Raw genomic sequence first — 22876 nt, forward strand, 5'->3', positions numbered from 1 at the left:
CAACCTTAATTATAAACTCATCTTGGAGTAGCATGCAAATGTGCTAAAGTTATTTAAAAAACATATACTTAGGCAAGAAGTAGAGGACAGCCCCAGAATGGCTACAATGAATGGAAGGAAAGTCTGTATACACACATATAGCTCAAGAACAAGTTTTTATTATGCATGGGTTTCGCAGTGATACAAGACACCTGCTCACAACTTACAGTATTAATTTTTTAGAAAAACAAAACAGGTATATGGCATGAGTGAAACAGTTCCCCATTAAAAGCACTTAAAACCTATGACATGGCTAGTAAGATGTAAAATATTAAGTCCCCTTGGGGTCTTGCAAACTTGTATTTCCTAACAATTTGGAAGCCATGATGATAGTCTGAAGCTAAAGGAACTCCAATTTCTTGGTATGATACTAAATAAAGATTCTTATCTTTTGGGAGAAAGAGCCAAAACAGAAGGGTGTGAAAGCAGTGAATTTCCCCTCCTATGACAATAAAGCAAGAGGGCAGATTATATTCATGAATGCTTCTCATATACAAAAAATTCCTCCATACCAGGAAGGAGAGTATTGACCAGTTTATCTTTAAAAAGAAAATGAGTAATTCTGGAGAAATGTAGCTTGTTCATTCACCTACAGACTATGGCTACAAAGCAATGAAATGGACTTCTAAAGAGAAATTGCTCAATTGCTTTTATACTAAACGTTAAATGTAACTAATGCTGTAGAAAACTGTTTAAAACAAATGGAAATTGTCTAGTGATAATGTACATGAATCTTGTTTTCTTGGAATTTTCATTCTATGGTGACATTTTTTTAACTTTCAAAACCTGAAATGAAAATTCTGCAGGATTTGGATGTGTACAGTCCTACGTTTCTATAATGTCTTAATAGAAAAATAAATGACAGGTAACGTTGTTATAAAAGAAACTCTCATATAAATTACACCAACATAGCAAATGGCATGTGTGAACTGGCCTTCACTACAAAGCACCGACACACAGAATAATCAGCATTTTTCCTATCCCTTTATTTATAAATTCTAACACATTTATTTTATAGACATGAGATAACATATGCATTCATAATTTGATTCCACCTCAGGTTGCCTACCCAGAGGAGCCACTGCATTTGGCAATGCAGATGAAATAGCAAACAGGACAGACATAGACCCTTGAGTTTCTTCTAGTAGAGAGGTGGACAAGCCTTTTTTTTTTTTTTTTTTTTTTTTTTGAAAAGGGCAGGTAGCAAATATTAGAGGCTTTGCAAGCTAAGACAAAATGAAGGACATTATTTAGGTACTCAAGGAAACTTTTCACCAAATTTTTATTCTAAAAATTGAAAACTCAAAATATTGAGTACAATTTTTTTTTCTTTTTTTAGTAATAGAGTTCTACTAATGGGAATAATGGGATTTTTTGGCAGGGGACGGGAGGTAACATTTTGCTCAATTTGGGCTGAAAGTTGGTATCCCCTCATTGGAATAAATAGAAAATGTTAATCTGTTAATGCTGATGTGTAATGGGATTTCACGTATTTCATCTTTGAAAATGTCTTTTCACACAAACAGGTCAAGGTACTGCTAAATACTGACACATCCACCCATGAGCATGTGATTTTAGTTAAGCATATTCATCACTTGTAAGGCATTTGTAGGATTCATCTTTTTGGTATTTGCCCTTTAGCATGTCATTCATTCAAGATGATTCATTTCCAACAGAAGATTAAGAGGAAACTTTAAAAGCATTTAATTGCAGTTAAATGCTTTTAAAATTTAAAAATTTTCTTTGCACTGCATCAAGGTCCAAAAAACTGCTACAGGAAAATATATCCACTAAAAATGGATTTGGCAATACAGCGCTGTTTTGACTTCTCATAGCACAGAAAGTATATAAAGCAGCTTGACAATCTTAAGTTTTAGTTTTTATTGAAATGAATTTACCATATTATGTTGTTGTACCTTGTAATTTCAGGTCAAATTCATTAAGAAACATTTTCAAGTCTGTGGCAAAAGTTAATTTCCAAAGTTACTCAGTGTTAAAAAACAGTGGTTGAGGATGGTTTTTCTCATTCAGAAAAATTTCAATGTCAGCCCAGAGCCCAAAAAAATAAAAATAAATCTTTAGCACTGCTAAGCCATTGAACGCCTGTGTGGCAAATCAAATCAGGATATTCAGCTTCTGTTTCTCACAAAAAAAAAAAAATCATGGAACTGAAGATGGTTAAGTCCACAAGAGCAAATGAAGTTAACTGTTGACCAGTTCAGTAACACCAATATTTCCTGTGAAGTACCTGCTGATGAATAATCAAGTGAGTAACTACAGGCTTTAAACAACTTACGTTTTCACAAGCCTTAAAATTTGACCAAATAAACTTTTTTTCTGCTTCATGCATTTTTCCCAGCATCGGTTGCATCACATCTTAGTAGATTCCACTTCAGGTTGTACTGTTTATCAACTTTTTTGAAAATATTCCCACTTGTAGTTCCATACAAATTCTTCGATCACTTCAAATCCAGCAATGGTTTCTCAAAAAATAAAGCTAGGCAGTACTGACTAGTAAGAGGCAAAGAATTAACAGTGTCATTTGATGTTGTGTCCAAAATCCTCATTCTTCAAACTACTGTTCTCATCAAAGGGCTGATGTCTTAATTTTCTCTGGACACATGTCTTTGGGTTGGTTACTATCTTCAAGCACGATGTAATTCAGCATTAGTAAATGGTTTTCTTTGCTTGGCTAACAAATAGGCTACTTGTAAACATTTTGGTTGCAGCCTCATTTTTATTACTTTTGTGAAATTTTGCTGTGATGTTTCATTTAAATTTTCTAATTCTTCTGACTGTTGCTTTCCCACCAGTTGGGAATATTGTGATGTTAGTCTGATACTGTCAGTCTATTCTTTTACCAGTTATGGTGACACTGCATTATAAACACAATGTACCAGCATATAATAAAATAGTCCATATTCCAATGTGCCTTGAAAGTGTAACATTCAAAGGTACTTTTCTTGTTCTGAGATACAGGGCATGAACTGGTAGCAGAAAAAGTAATAAATCTAGCAATACACAGGGCATTCCAAATGCTTTCAGGTAATATCTGCATCACCATGATTCTGTAGCTTGCCAAGCGGCAATGTGAAACAAGACACACATACACAGGTTCTGTAGCAGCTACTCAACTTTCCCATTATAGCAAAAAAGTATCCATAGATAATATGTAAATTAGTGTGGCTGCATTCCAATAAAAACTTATAGACACTAAAATTTGAATTTCATGTAATTTTCAGATGTCAGGAAATAATCTTTTGATTATTTTTCCCAACCATTTAAAAGCCATTTTCAGTTCATGGGCCACACAAAAACAGGCAGCAAGCTGATTCTGGCTACGGGCCATAGTTTGACAACCCTTGCTCTAGTAGATTTAACAGAATATATGAGCCTGTAATTAATTAATGGCTCAGTAACACTAAAATATCAGCCAAATATCTTACATCTGGAACCTAGACTTTACAAACATTGAGACTGTCTGGAACAAAATAAAAAAGTAAAACTTAGACCCAGTAAAAGTCAAAATGTTCCTCTACAAAAGTTACACTATACGGTTGCTCAACCTACAATGAGGTTACATCTGAAAAAATACTAAGATGCATTTAATGCAGGCAACAGCATACAGTCCCCCAATTTACGATGGTTCAAGTTATAAATTTTGACTTTGCAATGGTGCAAAAGCAATACACATTCAGTAGAAACTATAACCCCATCTTTGGTCCTAAGGCGCTCCTAAACTTTTGATGGGGTTACCTCTCAATACACCCACTGTAAAGTTGAAAAATCATTAAGTCGAAAGTAAGTTAGGGATTATCTATACTTTTTAGGGACAGAAGCCAGAAATGATACAAGTTATGAGATTGAGCAACTATGTGGCTAATAAAAAGGCAATCTTTATCATTCCTATTTGAAATCCAGCATTGATTTCTCAAATAGTTGAACAGAATTTAAATATTAGTTTTCTCAGCTAACAAATCACAAGCGAAAAGAAGCTTCACTTCCTTTTTAACGAAGACAAAAGAAGCCAGTTAGAAACTTACTACATTGTGTTAGATTTTTTAAAAAGCCACAGTTATACCAAATGTATTTACTTTGTGAAGTATATCCTTCGGAATAAATGCATTCCTGGAAAGGAGAAACAGAAGTCAGTCCTTAATTAGCTAGTTGAGGTACTCATAAAGAACAAGAATAAGCCAACACTTGAAATGCAGAAAACTCAGACTGATTTTTCAATTAATGGACTAATAATCATCTAGGGTTAATGAAGGAAGTTACTGAATTCTGTTGAGTTGCCCAAATAAAAATGAACAATATCCCCCAAATAAGTATTTCCAAAAGAAAATCACCAGTCATCAACATTTATAAGAAAACATTTTGAAGCCTTTATTTACAAAAGCTTTAAAAACAAATAATACCCTCTGTTTTGCAAATAATGTTTTGTTTAAAAAGGACCACCCAGTTACAGCACTGTAATATCATGAATAAAGAATGTACAAGGGAGACAAACCAATGTGACTAACATTTGGAGATTTGCTAATATTACTGATTGAAGTGTAGGTAACACACATTATAACTTGTAGTCCATCATTTCGGGGTAGAGTTAATGATTACCGTAAAGTCTTCCTACACATGCTCTGGTCTGGTCACATATTCTGCATGGCTAAGTATTTCACAGTCTCTTTTGTCAATATATATAAAATAGATTGCAAAGATATACACAAAAAAATAAGCATTACACTCCTCAGGTAATTTTATCAGCTATATATATATATATGAGAATATATATATATTTTGTTGTTTTGTACCAAATCTCTCCATTATTTACCTTTGTAGCAACTATGAAAGCACAATTTTTGTCTTCTAATTTAATTTGGTACAAAATATACCTAAAGACTTATCTTTGGATTTTTAATAAAATTGATTTGTGTAACCAACAAATCAAGAGCATCATAAGAATGGCTACAAAATTTAAAAAAAAAAAAAGGGTAAATGGTGATGGAATAAAAATAAGCAGATCAAGGGAAGTGTGCTATCATAAAATAACTGTAGCTTCAACATCTTGAGTACCAGTTTCCTGGCAGATAGTAAACATCCAATCACAAGGGATTTTTCCTGAAGGGTGTAAAGCTGGTTTGAAAATTCTTCAGTCACAGAGCAGCCTACACATGCCAATTAGAAACTGACAGACACTAGATGTGCTTGGAAGATTAAACACTACGTACAGAAACAGCAGTTACTAAGCTCCTCAGTAGTTTCTTGTCTTTTTTAAGTTTCGCTGAATCGACAGTTTGCACAACGTGCTATATTCTGTGGGTCAAAACCAAGTAAATACTGTGTAAAGTTGGCAGATTTTTCCAGCTAAGATCAAGAAAAAACAAATTTTCTGATAAAACAGGTTTAGAGTCAGAAACACTCTCTAAAGTGCAAAACTGATGGTCCACGATCTCAAATAGCTAAAACTCCTGCAGAATGGAAGGGAGAGACGTGAAACAGGGAAATAAATTACAGTCAGTGCTAGTTAATTTAGGAAAAGGGAAAAATAAACCAAACTCAAGTCGGTAAAGTTTATCAAAATATTCAATGATGTAGCTTTCCCCACTCTCTGTCACACACGCTTGCTAACAAGTATATTAAATTAAGGCCAAATTTAACCTGAATGCGTTTTTTTTTTTCTTTTTATTAAGATCTGAGATAGGAACGGTCATACTTAGTACTGAAAGGCAGACAATAAAATGGGCCATGAAAGGGGGGGGAAAGGTACTGTCTATTGTTCGAGGGATTCAACCAGAGATAAAACCTATATACAAGCATGTGTGTAGCTCGAAATAAAAATAAAAGGACTATTTCATGTCATGACTGCTTGTTGGCTTCCTCTTCATATGCATTCCCTGTGCCATTCTGTACATAGGATGAACCAGAACCAAGGCCATACAAATGACCACAATATTTGGCATCATCAATATGATCTTCAAAGAACATCTAAAAAGGAATTTTGAAGAAAAAAAAAAGATAATTTTAACCAAAAGGAACCACTTGTAATTTATATTTCAGCAATGTAAGTACTGACTGTTCACTGACAATAATGATGGCTCTTTTCTATGGTGTTCCTTTGAGGCTACGCATTTCAGTTCAATGAGTAAGACTAATGTCCTCAAAAGTACAGAGCTCAGAAACCAAAGAAAGAGACTACAAAAAAAGTGTATAAATGCATGTCTTTTCCATTTAGACCATTTTTATAAGAATTTTTCATCATGGAAAAATAACTATTCCATTAATTTAACAATACTCAAGAATGAAGAAAGCCAATGATGGTGGGGGAAAAAAAGTTTAGGTTCATAAACTGTCTTAAATCTGTATGCAAGGCTGAGCTGGCTATAAATGATCAAACCATAAAGTCATGGACAGTAAAATCCAAACATTCACACTCTATTACTGTCCTTGAAGAAGCCAAGAAAAATAAAGATAAATTAGTGCCAGAAATCCACCTTTAGTTAAATAAACCATTAAGACATTTTTAAAATGCAAAGCTAAAAAATCCAAAAGGTTGTTTCAATTATCTAATGAAACAATTGGAAGGAGTCCAAAACAAAATATTTACGTGTCATGAATGGATAGTCCAAATCACTTCTGAATCAACAACACTACTTAGCAAAACAGCTTTAATGCTTTCTATTATCAATACATTGCTACAAAAAGTTTTAAATTCTCAGTCTCAATTTAATGTCTAAGAGAAAATATACTCAAATCCACAGCGAATTTTTCCAAAAGGGAAAACTTATAGTCAAGAAAAACCTCACTTGTTTTTTGCACAACCAATTTTCCTGTTTACCTATAGCTAGGTGTATCTGTGCACATCACTTAATTACTTAGGAGTAGATAATGGGTTCATTTAGTTTCATTCTTCCATCCCTAACACTTTATACTCAAGGAACTGATCTCTGCCTTTTGCCGTTTAAGGAGGGTTTTCCTAATATGGTTTCTGATGCAACTACTACGTTGGATTTATTTGATCCCTTCGGAATTCAACCCCCCTTTTAAGACTCAATGCAGTAAAAGAGCCTGAGTTCTTCTCTATAAAATCTTCAAAGCACTGAAGAATGACATGAGCAAATAATATATTTATCACCAGTTTAAACCTTAAAAGGGGTCATGCTAGAATAAACCTAATATAAAGATTCCTTGCCTTGTAGGAGGAGCACCAATGGGAGTCAGAAAAGAACTCTGGAGTTCTCCCACTAGTAATGTGTTTAATCATGGAAGTTATTAGCCTGTTTTCTCACCTGAGAAATAATATGGTTGGACCTACATGACTTCTCAGGTAGTTTATGTTTTAAAATTGTTGGTTCTATGATGAACATGTTCTCCCAGTTCCTTCTGAACTACATTTCAAGATGACTTATTTTTGAATACTTTTAAGTGTGGTGGATGTGACTCATATGGTATCTCTAATTATATCTTTACTTAGTAGGTACTTGTTGCCCAAAATCTTTGGCCACAAGATTTTTAATGTTCTCAACCTAACAACCAACTGAGAAAAAGGCAGTGATGTCTTCATACTTCTCTCATTTTGAAAAAGGCCATTCCTGTGAGCAATGAATCAGATCCTGCCTGATGTTGTGGTCCTATCCGTTCCAGCTCTAACTGTTCTGCCACCTCCTGTAATCCACCCTAGAAAAAATAAAAAATTGCTTGTCAAGAAGAAAAATCTTACAAGGCCTAAATTCACAAATTATAAACTTAGACGCTGACCAAAATAAAAATAAACTTTAGTATGTAAAGGTGAATCTTATAAAGATTGGGGGGAAGAAACAGAGAATGTGAATTACTAATGTATTTGTTGAATGCGGAAAAAGTATCATTTAATAGAAAACAAGATCCTAATTGGGAAAATGTATTTTCATCATGTTTTAGGGCATATGACAGGTAAATACTCTCCTAGATATGGGAAGGAAGCAGACCACATATAGGGTAATATTTATCAAGTACACTCATAGTCTATCAATCCAGTAATAATTATAAAACTGAAAAGCTAGTATAACACCATTTTTTTCATATTTTCTTAAACTTCCCACCATCCATTTGTAGTTTTCACTTAATTTTTACAAAACAAAGCCATTATGAATAATCATTAAGAGTATGCTAAATGCTTCACTATGGTTTTCTTAGTTAAGACGAGTATATGCACACAACTCCTTAGAGTGGTCTGCTATAATCCACCTATGTTAATACTCCTAAGATTAAAAAAGAAAGATGAGAGTGGAAAGAGTGGAAAGAAAGAAAGAGAAAGACAGTAACAGAAGGAAAGAAAGTGGGAGGACAGGCAAGGAGAGTAAAGGGAGGGGAGAATAAGTAGAGCGTGAAGGAAAGAAACACCAACAACAAAACAAAAATTCTTCTCTAACTTGTTAAGGCCTCCACCGGCAAAATGGCCCTTCTGTGCATCACAGCTTGAAACAAGGCTTTGCACAGCAGTTGCTTCTGCGCTAAAAATAGCACGAGGATTAGGTATCGTTAGCAGCTGCTTAGGAGAACAGAACTAGAACTGAATAGAACAGCATGGCTGACTATAGGTCAAAAAGCACCTTTGTCGTTAACCTGAATTTTAACACAGCAGCTTACTCAGGACACATTCAGAATATCTGTACTTAGAAACTTCCCAGTAACAACCACATGATGAGCAATAATTTGGTTCCCTGTTCCTGAAAACTATCATTATACAGACATGTCAATTAAAAAAAAAGTCAGATGAAAACATGTAGGCCTCAGCATGCAGTGCTTTCACAGGGTGGGCTGAATTTCTCAAGCAAGGGATACCCTACTGCAAGTTCACTTCCTGGAAGTCCCCTCAAATTACACAGAAGTCTACTGCTACAAACATAAAATAATCTTTCTTGAAAATTTCTCTAGTCATATGCTGACCATATCATGTATTAAAGGTAAACACTGGCCAAAAGAAAGCTTCTCATCTTCAGTTATCTGTTAAGACCAGCGTGACCAACACGGTAAAACCCCGACTCTACTAAAAATACGAAATTTAGCTGGGTGTGGTGATGGACACCTGTTAATTCCAGCTACACAGGAGGCTGAGGCAGGAGAATCACTTGAACCCGGGAGGCGGAGGTTGCAGTGAGCCGAGACCACGCCACTGCACTCCAGCCTGGGCGACAAGAGCAAGGCTCCGTCTCAAAAACAAAAAAAGAATTAATGTTTAGAATTTAAAAATACATGTTATGCAGCGTCAAAATGTTACTACTATCTAGGCAGGACCTACACATTTCCCATAGTACTTAACTGTAACAAGCTGACATCTTTTGGCCACAGAAAAATCTTTTAGCTATATAGTTTAATCCTAGGAGCATTATCCTATCACTAGAACTGACAAAATAATTTCTAGCCAAGATAAGCCAAAAGGAAAGAAAAACTTTTGCCACACTACTAAATACATCTGCATATCGCTGGCCACCTTAGATTCCACCTTGTAAGAACAGATTCTATGCGTCTTGGGAGAAAGTAACAACTCACAATGGCGTGCATATGAGAGCCTCAATGTCCTCAGATTTGTGTTTTGGTTTGTGATTTTCAATCTGGCAAGCAGTGACAAGAACCGGACCTAAGCCTGAAATGTGTTGAAAATTCTGCCTTCTGCCAAGACATACTGAAGCTCTGAAAAAAGGATTCCCTACAAATTATGTATGCAAGAAAAAAAATCACATGACCAGATAATATAATTGCATTCACTGTAATACTTTAAAATATGGTTTAAAACAACATCCCAGCCTAGGCTCGCATGACAGTCACTTGGTCTGAACAGTGTGCTGCTGTAGATAATGCCATCCGAAGCCTTACTTTGAGATTTTTGCAGCTCTTCATGAGGTACTTCACATCATAAATGACAGGAAAAAACAATCGAAGGATCTCAAAGAAGTCAAGTTCTTCTTCAGGCAAGTTAGAGTTGGTTAGGATTTTGATTAAGTAGCCAAAGTCGTAACCGCTATAAAAGGGTTAAAAGAATAGAGAAGAGGGACATATAAATACTATAAAGATTAAAAAAAAAAGTTTTTCTGATTCAAATTTAAGCAAGTCACACTAGAGCCCTCCCAAAAACATTAAAGAGAAGTGCACACAAGAACAGAGAAAACAAACATATTGAGAACTATGAGAAAATGTCGTCATCTTACAGTATTAAGAACTTTATCACTTTATTATTCAGAGATATCAACACAGACCTACACTACCAAACCAGCCTATGGTCAATAAAATACTATTTTGTTGATATCTGAATAGAGAACACCAAGAAGAGTATCAAGCTGCCCACAGATGTCTCAAAATATTTTTTAAAGTAACTATGGAAATGGAGAAATAAAGATGAATGGAAACTTGGCCAGAAGAGTTAGCAAAGGTAGCAAGAGAACTGGCATTCGGTAGACAAAAGTAATGCAAGTCATCCCACTTTTACATAAGGTGGTCATATACTTTATCCAAAGAATAAGACTGTAACAAGGTATTTTCACTTCTCTTAAATGACTGTGTTAAGTAGTCTCTCCCTTTTCTTCCTTCACAATTCTCTTCCTTTCAGTGTGGCTCCCTAAGAGTCATTATTAATGGAAATGCTGCACATGGAAGAAGTGAAGGGTAGTAAAAAAATAACTACTCTCTTGATCATAAAATGCAAACTCCTACACTCTCAAATCCAGAACTCTTCTCCCTTTGTCCGGCCTTTCGCACAGCTTTCTGTCTCCCTACACTCCCAGGCCACTTAGACACGTCCGTCCCTTGTCTACCTTTCCTTCCAAGGACCTCTAACAGGAAGCCTATATGACATTTGCTCACTAACATTAAAAGATTATATTAGCGCTTAGGATTTATAAACTTCTTAAACTATTCTTCATTACTTGAAATTAGAATATGAGGAAAACAACTAATGATATTTAATGGAATAAAATCTTCTATCTTGATAAATATTCAAATATATCAGTCTAACTTAGATTCTAAACTCCAAGAAGACATGAATGAACCCTGTTTGTTTTTGTTCATCTTAATACCCAGTGCCTAGTGCACTGTATTTTGTCAGAGTATTTTTTAAATGAAAGGGTATGTCATATACAGTAAAAGGGAAGGGCAATACTTTCCAGTTCTTTTGCACCTTCATATCTAGGGAAGAAAAATGACTAAAAAAAAGGTATTTGTATCAAGAGTCTTAAGTTATGTTTCCTAAGGTACAAGTTCAAGTGCAGAAGAGACAAAAAAGATGATAGGTAAGAATGAGTGTGTTCAGTACCTACAACTCAACCATTTCTGGTTAGTACACATCAAAGTTGCCCACATGAACAGTCCTTCACTATAAACATCCCACAGATCAGAGACAGAAACTAAACATGCAGGAGACTCAGATTTAAGATACATGTGTGAAGTGGACCAAGTATGAGAGTATTAACATCTATGTAACACAATGCTTTTTCAAAACCTAACAAAAGCCAATATCATTCTGAAGGTTACTTTTAGTCCCTGGAACGTCAGTTTAGTTTACTTAGATGGGAAAACTCTTTTTCATACCTGGAAGTCTATTTCACAAAATCGGAATAGTTTCCTTACCAGAAACACTCTTAAATAATCTAGTTTCATAACAATAAAGAATTTAGAACCACCACTTATTGAGAATTTACTGTTTATAAAGTATTTTGGTGACCATTAAAACAAGTCTTCAAGCTATTTCTTCTAAGGGATGCCTTATCACTTTAAAAAAAAATTAAAATCCATCTCCACACCCATCCCTAGCATTTTCTTTGCTGTTTTGAGATAGTACTTATCACTATCTAACAAATCACAACGTGAACTCCATTTTTAAAAACTGTCTGCCCACCCCCATGAGAATATAAACTCCATGAGGAAAATAATTTTCATCTGTTTTATTCACACCTTAGTTCCTAGAATCTCATCTCAGTGCCTGCCATATGGTAAATACTCAATAACGTTGTGTAAATGTAAGTGAATGGTTTCCCCCGTAGAACATTAAAAACTAAGGTGTAGAAATAGTAAAAGAAAACCCTGGGTAACACCAATTCCAAATGGCGCCGCTGGATTTAAACCAGGGTCTTTCACTTTTTAGAGAACCTGTACTGTTTCCACTATGCAACATGCTTCTCACAGGCAAAAATGGATCCCATATTTTAAATTAACCTTTAAGCAGACCAACATTAGCCTCCTAAGAGTTAGGAGACAACTCTATATGGCAGTCAACTCTTTCCAGAATTAAACCTGAAATTGCTAACATAGTGACCCAAGTAAGTGTGGAGCAAGTATGAGATGGAAAAACAAATGCCATTTTCAATGTAGTCGTTTTACCTATGAAATGACAACCATTTGACCCCTTCACAGAGGACCACTCCAGAAGTCATAAGAAGTTCTGCAAAGTACTGGGTTTCAATTCCTTCCTCCTCATGTTTTTTAAACTGGATACCAGATGTTGTTAGTAGCTCTATAGAGTCCTGGGCATACATGTCCTCCCTGGCAGAAGAAAGAGAAAGACAACATTCAAACATGCCATTACTTCAAACAAGCTGTTCTTCTGCTTACATCTATAACTACAGTGCCAGAAAAGAGACAGAGGAATGGCTTGAGTCCACCTGTTTCAATGCTTTATATATATGCAAGAAAAATGCAATTTAAATACAAAGGTCATTATTTCAGAAAAGTGTTTCGAATAAAAAATCATTCAGAGAGTCCAAAGGTGCAATTTTAATCTTTTTTCTATTAACTCTATTAGCCTTTCATACTTAAATACATTTAACTGGGTTTGGAAAAGGGTCTCCTATTCACCAGGGGCTACCGTCGCAAAGTGACAGACAAGTTTTTTCAGAGACTCTCAGTCTCAGCAGCCACTGTAATGCTCCCAGATGGAGCTGCAGCCATAGCTGTGGGGCATATGCCCATCTCCCGTGCTCTCAGCAGCACCAGTAAGGAGACCCAGTGGAAAATGTCTCATGCGGATGAGTTAAACTACACTTCATCTTAAAGAAGGAGATGCCTCCTTTCACAAATGAGCCTTGCAAATGCCTCCAATAAGCAACACTGTATAAAGGACTGTACTGTAATAGCAATAATTTCTTCTGCCAACAATCCTATTCCTAAAAGACTGCCTTATAAAATCAAGCCAGGAAATCTAAATATAAACCAATTCTTCAAGATTTCACTTAAGCCAAAAAGAAAGCCATCTCCAACCTCAAATATATTTCCAACCACAAATATGTGTATCTGAAATATTAAAAGTTTCCAAAATATATCTGTATCTGAAATATTAAAACAAAAAAGTTACCAAAATACAGATACATTTTTGAGAATACGTGAAAAAGTGTTTTTTTATTTACTTTTTAAATTGTAAGAATACTGGTTTCTACCTCTTGGCAAAAGGAATTCCTATTAAACACTTGACAAATCTAAACCATGGGGTTCACTTCACTTGGGCCAAAAAGTATCGTTATGGTTAGTCCTTTAGAAATCAATTTATTTCTAAATGTCTGAAAAATTACAAAACAATGGAAATATTTTAAAAGAGAAGGAAACCACAACAATCACGTAAAAGTCAGTCTCCCCTGGAAAATCCTTTAGGAAGGGTAACAGAATAAACCCAATGAAGTAGTTTCTTTTTTTTTTTTTTTTTCCAGTGAAACCACAGCTTTCCTATGCTAAAAATATGTACCTCAAAAAATTAGAATCTCATTCATCAGGTCCCAGTGCTCACACTGAGGCATGCCTTAGCAACTATAAGCAATGAAAGGGATAAAAAACAGATTCTTCTCCAGGTGCACATCATTCTTGGCCATTTGCCAAGGTATAGGTATACAAGTAGTTTAGACCTTTTTCTCTTAAGTTTCCAATAACACCCTTCACCTGTCTACTTGCAGCATATGGCTTCACCCCATACCTGCTTTACAAAGAAACATCAGATTAATATTCCTGTCTTTCTTTACATCTACGTATGTGAAGATCTTTCTTACTTAGACTACAAAGACAGCTTGCCTCATCGCCAAAGCTAATTGCTACCAATGCCTTAGACGCTATTCCATGCCATTCCTCAAAGGACTTGTCAAGTGCCTATCTTTATCCTAACATACAACTCCTTAACTAACTCATGAACACACAAATATGTCTGTGTATTATCTGTAAAACAAAATAAAAACCACTATTCTGTTGATTCTGCTTTCCCTTCTTGAGACAGGGTCTGGCTGTCATCCAGGAAGCAGTGGCTTGAACACGGCTCACTGTAGCCTTGACCTCCCGGACTCAAGCAATCCTCCTTTTGTAGCCTCCCAAGTAGCTGGGACTACAGATATGAGCCACCATGCCTGGCTAATTTTTCTATTTTTGTAGACAGGGTTTTGCCATGTTGCCCGAACTGGTCTTAAACTGAGCTCAAACAATCTGCCCACCCTGGCTTCCAACTGGCCTCCCGAAGTGCTGGGATTACAGGAATGGGCTACTGCATCCAGCCTTCCTTCTTATGGCACTCTCTATCTCCTTCTTTACACTGCCACTTTCCTTAAATGAAGCATCAGCATCCTTTCTGTTACCACCAAACCCAAGGTGCCCTGTAATTTCTACTATCCTATTGAATTACTGCAATCACCAAAAGTGATTTTTCTTTTTTGAGACGGAGTCTCACTCTGTCGCCCAGACTGGAGTCAGTGGCATCTCGGCTCACTGCAAGCTCCACCTCCTGGGTTCACGCCATTCTCCCGCCTCAGCCTCCCGAGTAGCTGGGACTACAGGTGCTCACCACCACACCCAGCTAATTTTTTTTGTATTTTTAGTAGATACAGGGTTTCACCGTGTTAGCCAGGATGTTCTCGATCTCCTGACCTTGTGATCCGCCCGCCTCGGCCTCCCAAAGTGCTGGGATTACAGGCGTGAGCCACCACGCCCAGCCTAAAAGTGAGAATTTGTTAAAAATTTGTTTTAATCCTCTTTATCAGTGACATTATTTCCACAGAATGCTTCTCTTCTTCACAGCTCATCAGTACTCCACTTCAATTTTCATGGATGTATCAACTCCAAATTCAGTTTGGAGAGAATTCCCATACGTTACAATTGTAATTCTTAGACTTAGGCAATAGAGAGAAAACAGAAGAGTTACAAAACACTGAGTTATAAAGACCACGACCAACTTTCCTCAGTACTAAATCCCTAGTGTCTAGCACTGTAACTGACACTCATTCTAGCCACCCCATTAAAAAGTCAATTTTGATCTTTCTTCCAAATTTCCAAGATTCTCTTCACGGTGCTCTCTCTATATTAGGCATTACTCGTTTATCTTCCAAATGACTTCTTCTACCTAATGTTTTTCACTGTATCCTTCTCCTTAAACATCTCCTAACATCAGTGTAAATCAAGCTTGTCCAACCTGCAGCCAGTGGGCCACATGTGGCCCGGCATGGCTGTGAATGTAGCCCAATACAAATTTGTCAACTTTCTTAAAACATTTTGAGATTTTTTTTTTTTTTAGCTCAACAGCTATTGTTAGCATTAGTGTATTTTATGTGTGGCCCAAGACAATTCTTCCTCTAGTGTGGCCCAGGGAAACCAAAAGATTAGACACCCCTAGTGTAAATGGTAGCAAAACTTGGTAGTAAACTTTAGCAGTCATTTTTGAGTAAGAAAGAAAAAATGTCACTTACAGGCTGTACTAAGAAAGCAGTTGTTACTCGAACAAAGGTGTTTCTAGAAAAGGAAACTGTCAATTTTATCCAAACTGAGAAGCTGATGGGTTACCTCCTTCTCACGTACTGAGATCACAATAGTATCTAATTTAAAAACAATGTTCTAATTCACTTGAACAAAAAGTTAACATGGAACAAATGAAATGGTAAAGCACTAATTTTAATAAAGGTTTATCATTTGAGAAAAAGGATAGGAGGCAATTTTCAGTGTTTCACAGATGTAGTTCTTATAAAAGGTTTTCAGTTTGAGTGGAGTACTTTGCACCCTTTATAAATGAGGTGTTCAATCTTTTGGCTTCCTTGGGCCATACTCAAAGAACTGTCTTGGGCCACACATTAAATAAACTAACTTAAACAACAACAAAAAAATCTCATAATGTTTTAAGAAAGTTTACGAATTTCTGTTGGGCTGCATTCAAAGCCATCCTGGGCCAAGGGTTGGACAAGTTTACTTTACAAGGTTCTGTAGACTGTGCGTGTGTGTATAGATACAGGTATTTTTAGAGACAAAGTATCACTCTGTTGCCCAGGCTGGAGTGCAGTGGTGCAATCTAGATCACTATAGCCTTGAACACCTCAGTTAAAGCAATCCACTTGGTTCAGCCTCCCTGTACCTGTAGTGCTAGCTACCTGTACCTGTACCTGTAGTGCTAGGACTACAGGTACACAGCCACCATGCCTGGCTTAGTTTCATTTTTTTTTTTTTTTTTTGTAGAGACAGAGTCTATGTTGACCAGGCTGGTCTAGAACTCCTGGCCTCAAGCAATCCTCCTGCCTTGGTCTCCAAATGGAGAGTATATTATTAAACCCAAAAGAGTGAAATGGAGAGTCAGGCTAAACACAGTGTAATTACAAGCCACACTACTATACCACAGGCATCATTACTCTGCTTTTCCTAAGCCCTACTTTCGTAAAATTGTGTATACTAAATATCTTTGTTTATCTGACAAAGAACAGGAAGAAAGAATTCATACATTGGCACTACCATTAATTGCCTACAGTTTCTTTCACTATTTTACCTACCAGATATTAGGATGTATGACACAAATGTAGGATGTCAAACAGAAGAACAATGCAATATTGCAACATACAGTTAAGTACTCACTCAACGTTATCAATAAGTTCTTGGAAATTGCAACTTTAAGCCAAAAGATGGATAACGAAACCAATTTTTACCACAGGCTAATTGATAAAAACAAGAGTTAAGTTCCTACGGCATATTTCTGGTCACAAAAAAATCATCAAACTTCTAGATAAAGACCAAAATACTTCTAATATTAAACAATGAAATAAATGTGAGCTATATGTAAATTTAAGAACAATTAATAAAAACAAGATAATTATTTGCTCCATTATTCAGTTGAGGGGTGAAGAAAGCCAGAGCCTATTCTGGCAGCTCAGGGCACAATGTGGGAACCAACCCTGGTCAGCATGTCGTTCCGTGGCACAGTGCACTCACACAGATACACCTACTCACTCACACTGGGACAACTTAGCCACACCATTTCACCTAACGTGCACAGCCTTGGGATGTGGGAGGAAATCAGAGGACCCGGGAGAAAATCCACATATACACGAGAACGTGCACACTCCACTCAGGTAGTGGCCCGGGTCAGGAATCAATTTTATTTTTTATGAAGGTTACCATGAAACAATGTTGAAGAAAATGTCATTTGAGGTCCTGCTGTAATAAGAATGTATTATTTTATTTACCCAACTTAGTTTGCAAATAATCTGCCCCTCTCTAAAAACATCTAAAACTTCCCTTAGCTATCAAGACTACTTCTATTAATAATACAGAAATATTATAACTAAGGAAACTGGGTGAAGACCCAGGGCTTGAGTTAGAATGAAGATTCTGACATATGATAAACACCAGGTTCAAGGATACTACTACTTCTCCTATATGTAAATTAAGAGAGCTTTTGTGGGCTGAAGTGGCAACCTAATGATAATACTGACTTGAAAGGAAAACGTACCCAAGGTTCCAGAAAACGTCTTACTGCATTTGACATGTAATCTACTCATAAACTGGAATATGAATGCAACAAAAATCTTCACAAGAAGGATAAATATTATAAAAGGCTATATTTCAAATTGCACACAAAATTTTTGAAAGTAAAACTAATGTAGGATTATTTTTTCTATCAGAAGTACTTTCAATACCCAGTCTTCCAAATACAAAAAAAGCTGCAGTCATATTTTAAATATAACATCTTTAACATCAAAGTATTTTTTTTGGTCCCATAGTAAAAAAGAAAACCACGCTTTTGAAATGTTACGTTTTATATATTTCCAGGATAACTACACCAAATTCACCTAGCATGTCACCATACTTGAGGAAAATCAATTCCTAAGATTAAAGAAAAAAAAAAAAAAGTCTGGGTTATACAGTTATTTCCCACTTACGTCAAATTAAATTTAAAATTAAACTGCCAAGTTGAAGTTCCTGGAGGGTATTCTCCTTGCTCATTCATAAATGTCAGTCCTAGCTGAATTATCTTTAACAAGTCTACATTACACCGCAATAGTTGGTATTGATAGTCAGCATTGCTCCTGAATTCTCCAATGGGTCTTGCAACCACACCTGGAAACTCGGTGTCCTGTAAAATAGTTTTAAGATTCATTATGTACTAAACAGTCAAAACTACAATCCACACATTTTTAATTTTTGATGCAAATCAAAGAATCCTACAGATGATATTCTACACATTTATATTCAATTACAAAGTATATTTTAACTAGAAAGAACATCACTTTTTAGAACCATAAAACTCTATAAACTTAATAACCTTTCCTTAAATATATCCAAAAAGTTACTATACGAGATACATGTGATAAATTTAACCAAATACTTACTCTATAACCAAGAAAGGGGGGAAAATCATAAATTCCTGTCTCCCAAAGGATACATGAAATGATGCTCACAGTATTCCAATGCTAAAACCAAGTTTCTTGAAGAACTGGTTCAAAAGAGGGGAAAACGCCCTGTACTTTCCAATTGCTTCTCTGACACAAGGTTTTTCTCAACACCAAAACCCTAAGAAAAACATCATTAGCTTCCTAATTTCTCTGGCTTAAACAATATTCTCTCTATAGTCCACAGAAAGCATGCTGTCAAGAATTGCATGCCACCTACTCACTCTTGTAGGATGTTATCACTTCTCTATGTTGCCACTCTTTATCATCTGAGAAATCAATGATCACTATGAATTTCCATTGGTTAAGAAAACAATTTTAGTTCTAATCATGGGTAAGTACACCTTTATCAAATAGTATGTCATCTACAAAGAAACAGTCATATTTTAACCAATCAACTTGCTCCTCCCCAAAGTAATGCATTTGTTTATTTTTATTAAAAATACTGAGACAAAGATACATCGGTTTAGTATTAGAATTCAAACTAGGGCTAGCTAAGAATAAAAACTACCTATCAAGTCACTATGAAATAGTAAAGAAATCAATATTTCTCTAAATTCAGTGCAATTCAACAGCCACTTTATTGAATACTATATGTGTTATGCTAGGTGTTGGGAGAGAAAGGATTAAAACACTTGGTTTATGGAGCTAATAATAATCCAGTGGATGTAGAAAACAGTAGGGTAGCTAACAGATATAGACAGTATAATGGTAAAGAAGAAAAATCATTAACTGGATAGACAATCTAGGCAGACCAAACAGCACGTGCAAAAGCAGAGTTGCTTAGTAACACAGTATATTCACAGAACTCCAGTGTTAATTATGAAAACAAATTGCAGACCAACAACGTTTCACTGGCACATCTGATTTTTTTGTTTGAGAAAGAGCACCCTAGCTTCTGGGAGCTCATGTGGTACTACCAGCTAGGCTTTGGTGTTGCTAGGAGCAGACCTGGCACTCATAGCCACGCCCTAATGTTCTCCTGTTGAACACAATTTCACAAAAGTTCAACCTCAAATAAGGCCACTCTGTAATCATGTCTGAACAAGGACAAAAAAATAAAAATGTCAAACCACAAAATGACCAAGTATCTCCATCCTGGCTAAATGAATGACTGTTCCTTCTCTGCAGCTTTAACCTCATTCTAGTCTCTCATTTAAGACTTAGTAAGATACCCAATCACAGAATTACCCCAGCTTCCCGAACACATCCAATCCACAGTAAAGCTCTGCTTCCCTTACCTTCCCCTAAGACCACCTGACACGAGCCCAAATCCTTCCTAACTCTTATTCAAACGGCCCATGGTTCCCATGAATTCCAGTGCGTTTTCCCTCACTGCAATGAGGGATAAACCCAACCTGTCAAATCACAGGTGTATTCCTGATGGATTTTGGCTGGAGGGCAGTGACAAATTTTACTTTTCATGGTGAAATTAATCCCTAAAAATATCAACCAAAAGGGTTGAATTCAAGACTTTAAAATTTCCTTTTCCTCCTTTATATGAAGCGTTTTAAAGATCTGCTTGTGGGCATACCATAGCAACGTAATTATATTTTCGGATAACTTGACGAATTTTCTTCATCTCTTCATCCAAGTTGCAAGCCCAAACTTCACAAATTCTTTGGCTATGATCTACAGTTGCCGCTGGCATAGTGAGGGCACAAGGGAGTCTAGATGCCAAGCATCAAAATGTTATACTTGATTGAAGATTTGTTTCATAAAATATTTTATCCTTTATTTATGTACCTGTCAAAATAAAAAAACAATATGAAGACCAGATATATCAAATCTGAATCACAGAATAATTGATCCAGCAGGAACCTAAGAAGTTATTTATTCAAAGTTCTTGACTCATAAAAAAAAAAAATCAAAGTTTAGAAAGTAACTTAAGGTCACACAGCTAGTCTATAGGAAAAAAAGGACTACAGTACAGATTTCCTGGTCCTAATTTCAGTTATTTTAAAATAGCTTTTTTACACATACATACTAATCATATTTTATAACTTTCCACTAATTATTTATCTGAGTTCAACTACTCTGCATAAAACTTTATAAAGCCATCCATTTCCAGACAAAAAATGAAAAATTACTTATTTACATGTGACAAGATCAGATGTTACCATGGCAAAGATGGTGTTTATTTTTATTCCTCATTAATAAAACAACCAAAATCCGACTTGATAACAAGATCTACTTTACCGGCGTTTATTCTAACTAGACTAGAGGGGTCAAAAATGTTTGTAAATGCTCTGAGAAAAAAGTAACGGCCATGAAAATTATCTGAATGTTCGCAGTTGCAGAACGGAAAAAGAACACAATAGAACGTCTAAAACTTAGAGCATATTGCATGGTTACCAAAGATAGATGTCACATTTCTGGTCTATAAACAGAGTTCCTGTTGATTCTTGGGCAGGGAAATTTCAAATCCTTCTGCATTTTTCATACAAATTGGAAAAAAAAAAAACAAGAGTAAAAAGAGGGTCTTATGACTGTCTTCTAAACTCTGAAGAGTCACAAATGTAACTTCCAATTCTCCAAGTAGAGAAACTAAAGGAGATCCAGGACACCCCTCCTTTATAACTCTCCCACCCCGATAGGCACACACACACACATAAGCACAAAAACACAAAGACTTGGAAAGACCCTGTAGTCTAACATTGTTTTCCTCCACCTCTCTCTCTACTGCAGTCCCAGAAGCCCCGAAGAGACACCAAAGGCCTTCTCATTACTGGAGAAAGCATCTCCGTACTGCAGTTTCCCAGAGAAACGAGAGGACGGCACCGAGGTATTCAAGCCATAGATAACTCTCTTCCCTGGCAAAGCGCCAGTGCGAAGGTGCTGATAACACTGACTGGAGCTACACTGACTCCCAAGCACTGCCGCGTGAAACAATACGAAGAGGTGAGGATCTAGGCCACCGCCCTCCACTCCCAATTTCCGTCCCACTGCGAAGCCCCAGGTACAAAGCCTTTGCGTCATCACTACGCGCCAACCCCTTGACAAACCCCCAGCCCCAGTTACCCAGCCCCCAACCCGCCGCCAGGCTCCTTCCTCCGCCAGCCGCACTCCAGCTGGCGCCATCGCGCACCCTCTCAGGTTCATCGTCCCCGCCCCCTTTCTACTTCCCTAACCCGCCCCTCCCCCCGTAAGGCTGCAGCGGATGCAAGATCTACTTGTGTCGCTGAGCTCGCGCTCCTCCTCCTCCTCCTCGCCATAGAGACAGCACTCGGCGGCGGTGGCGGTGGCGGTGGCGGTAGCGGCGGCGGCAGCGGGTGCCCCATAGACACCTCTCGCCCAGCGAAGGGAAAGGCGAGCAGGAGCTGCGCCGCACCGTGCTGCGCCGTCGCTTTTCGCACGTCCTGACGGGGGCGCTAGATGATGACGCGACACGCAGAGGGGGCGGAGAGCGCCCCCGGGGGCGGGGCACGCAAGTGACGGCGGCGCGGGTGGTGGAGCGCTGGGCGGCCAGGCTCCCTGGCTGGCCGGTTTGGGCGTCTGGGCCGTGAAGGTGGGACCTCCTGTTCCGGGCCGCAAGTTTCCCTCTCCAGCCGCCCGCCGTTCGTAGCATGTCCCCCAGAACTCGGGGAGCGCAGGCAGGACAGGCTTAGAGAAGACGCGGTCCCCAGCGCTTGGGCCACGGACGTCCCACCCCGCTCCTCTGTCGCTGGAGAACCGCCGGGCCGAGCCACTGGGAGAAGCAGGCCAGAGCCTTCCAGGGCCTCCGGCCCGTGGACCCGAGGAGGATGAGCTGGCTTTTTCCCCTGACCAAGAGCGCCTCCTCCTCCGCGGCTGGGTCCCCCGGTGGCCTCACCAGCCTCCAGCAGCAGAAGCAGCGCCTGATCGAGTCCCTCCGGAACTCACACTCCAGGTGACTGGTCGCTGCCTCTCCACCGGAGGAAAAAGTAGGGTGGGAGGGCGGGCTTGTCCTAACCACCCTCACAGCGCCTCAGTCTGCTCCCCACCAGCTCCTCATGTGGTTTACCTCCCTTGGTTGTGGGTCACACGCTTGCTCTGCCACTCCTGCCCCCTTTTACTGTTTTCCTCCGGACCCTCCCTGCCTCCTGCCGCACCACTGCTCAGCGCTTCTAACTCGGATTTCCTCATCCCTCCTGACACATAGCTGCTGACTGTAATCTCTCAATCTCTCTCATAGTCTATTTCCAGTATCCCTTGCTGCCCAGGCTTCGCCACTGATCTTTCCC

General features: G+C 37.8%; 2 protein-coding genes across 38 annotated transcripts in view, besides 2 other annotated features; one reads left to right on the forward strand and one right to left on the reverse strand.

Moving 5' to 3' along the window:
* Nucleotides 1–138: 138 nt before the first annotated feature.
* CNOT7 (CCR4-NOT transcription complex subunit 7) lies at nucleotides 139–22030 on the reverse strand. 20 transcript variants are annotated; one of them, NM_001322093.2, is made up of 8 exons: nucleotides 21848–22030; nucleotides 20209–20420; nucleotides 18165–18358; nucleotides 14899–14964; nucleotides 12385–12546; nucleotides 9889–10033; nucleotides 7600–7710; nucleotides 139–6021 (listed from the first exon to the last, which is right to left on the reverse strand). In NM_001322093.2, exons 2-8 carry the CDS (start codon nucleotides 20323–20325, stop codon nucleotides 5893–5895), a joined length of 924 nt encoding a protein of 307 aa, NP_001309022.1. In that variant the 5' UTR covers nucleotides 20326–20420; nucleotides 21848–22030; the 3' UTR covers nucleotides 139–5892. The 20 variants fall into 20 exon arrangements, with proteins under 20 accessions (NP_001309022.1, NP_001309024.1, NP_001309025.1 ...); NM_001322095.2 differs by lacking the exon at nucleotides 14899–14964 and adding an exon at nucleotides 18615–18718; NM_001322096.2 differs by lacking the exon at nucleotides 14899–14964 and adding an exon at nucleotides 18615–18795.
* Nucleotides 8306–8808: an enhancer, noted in NCBI's record as "NANOG hESC enhancer chr8:17090642-17091144 (GRCh37/hg19 assembly coordinates)". NCBI's record gives its function as "activates a minimal SCP1, AML or CMV promoter by ChIP-STARR-seq in naive H9 embryonic stem cells {active_cell/tissue: H9 hESC(naive)}" and the evidence as "EXISTENCE:reporter gene assay evidence [ECO:0000049][PMID:30033119]".
* Nucleotides 21779–22627: an enhancer, noted in NCBI's record as "H3K27ac hESC enhancer chr8:17104115-17104963 (GRCh37/hg19 assembly coordinates)". NCBI's record gives its function as "activates a minimal SCP1, AML or CMV promoter by ChIP-STARR-seq in naive and primed H9 embryonic stem cells {active_cell/tissue: H9 hESC(naive and primed)}" and the evidence as "EXISTENCE:reporter gene assay evidence [ECO:0000049][PMID:30033119]".
* Nucleotides 22131–22876, forward strand: part of VPS37A (VPS37A subunit of ESCRT-I) — an 86498-nt gene continuing 85752 nt past the window's right edge. For all 18 annotated transcript variants that reach the window (XR_007060695.1, XR_007060696.1, XR_007060697.1 and 15 more), the window contains exon 1: nucleotides 22131–22542. Coding sequence is in view for 7 of the 18 variants with exons in the window: in NM_001363173.2 (NP_001350102.1) it covers nucleotides 22418–22542 (125 nt within the window). In the remaining 11 variants the exon portion in view is untranslated. The remainder of the gene's footprint in view (nucleotides 22543–22876) is intronic.

The sequence above is a fragment of the Homo sapiens genome, chromosome 8, assembly GCF_000001405.40.
Source record: "Homo sapiens chromosome 8, GRCh38.p14 Primary Assembly".
NCBI classification, from domain to species: Eukaryota; Metazoa; Chordata; class Mammalia; order Primates; family Hominidae; genus Homo; species Homo sapiens.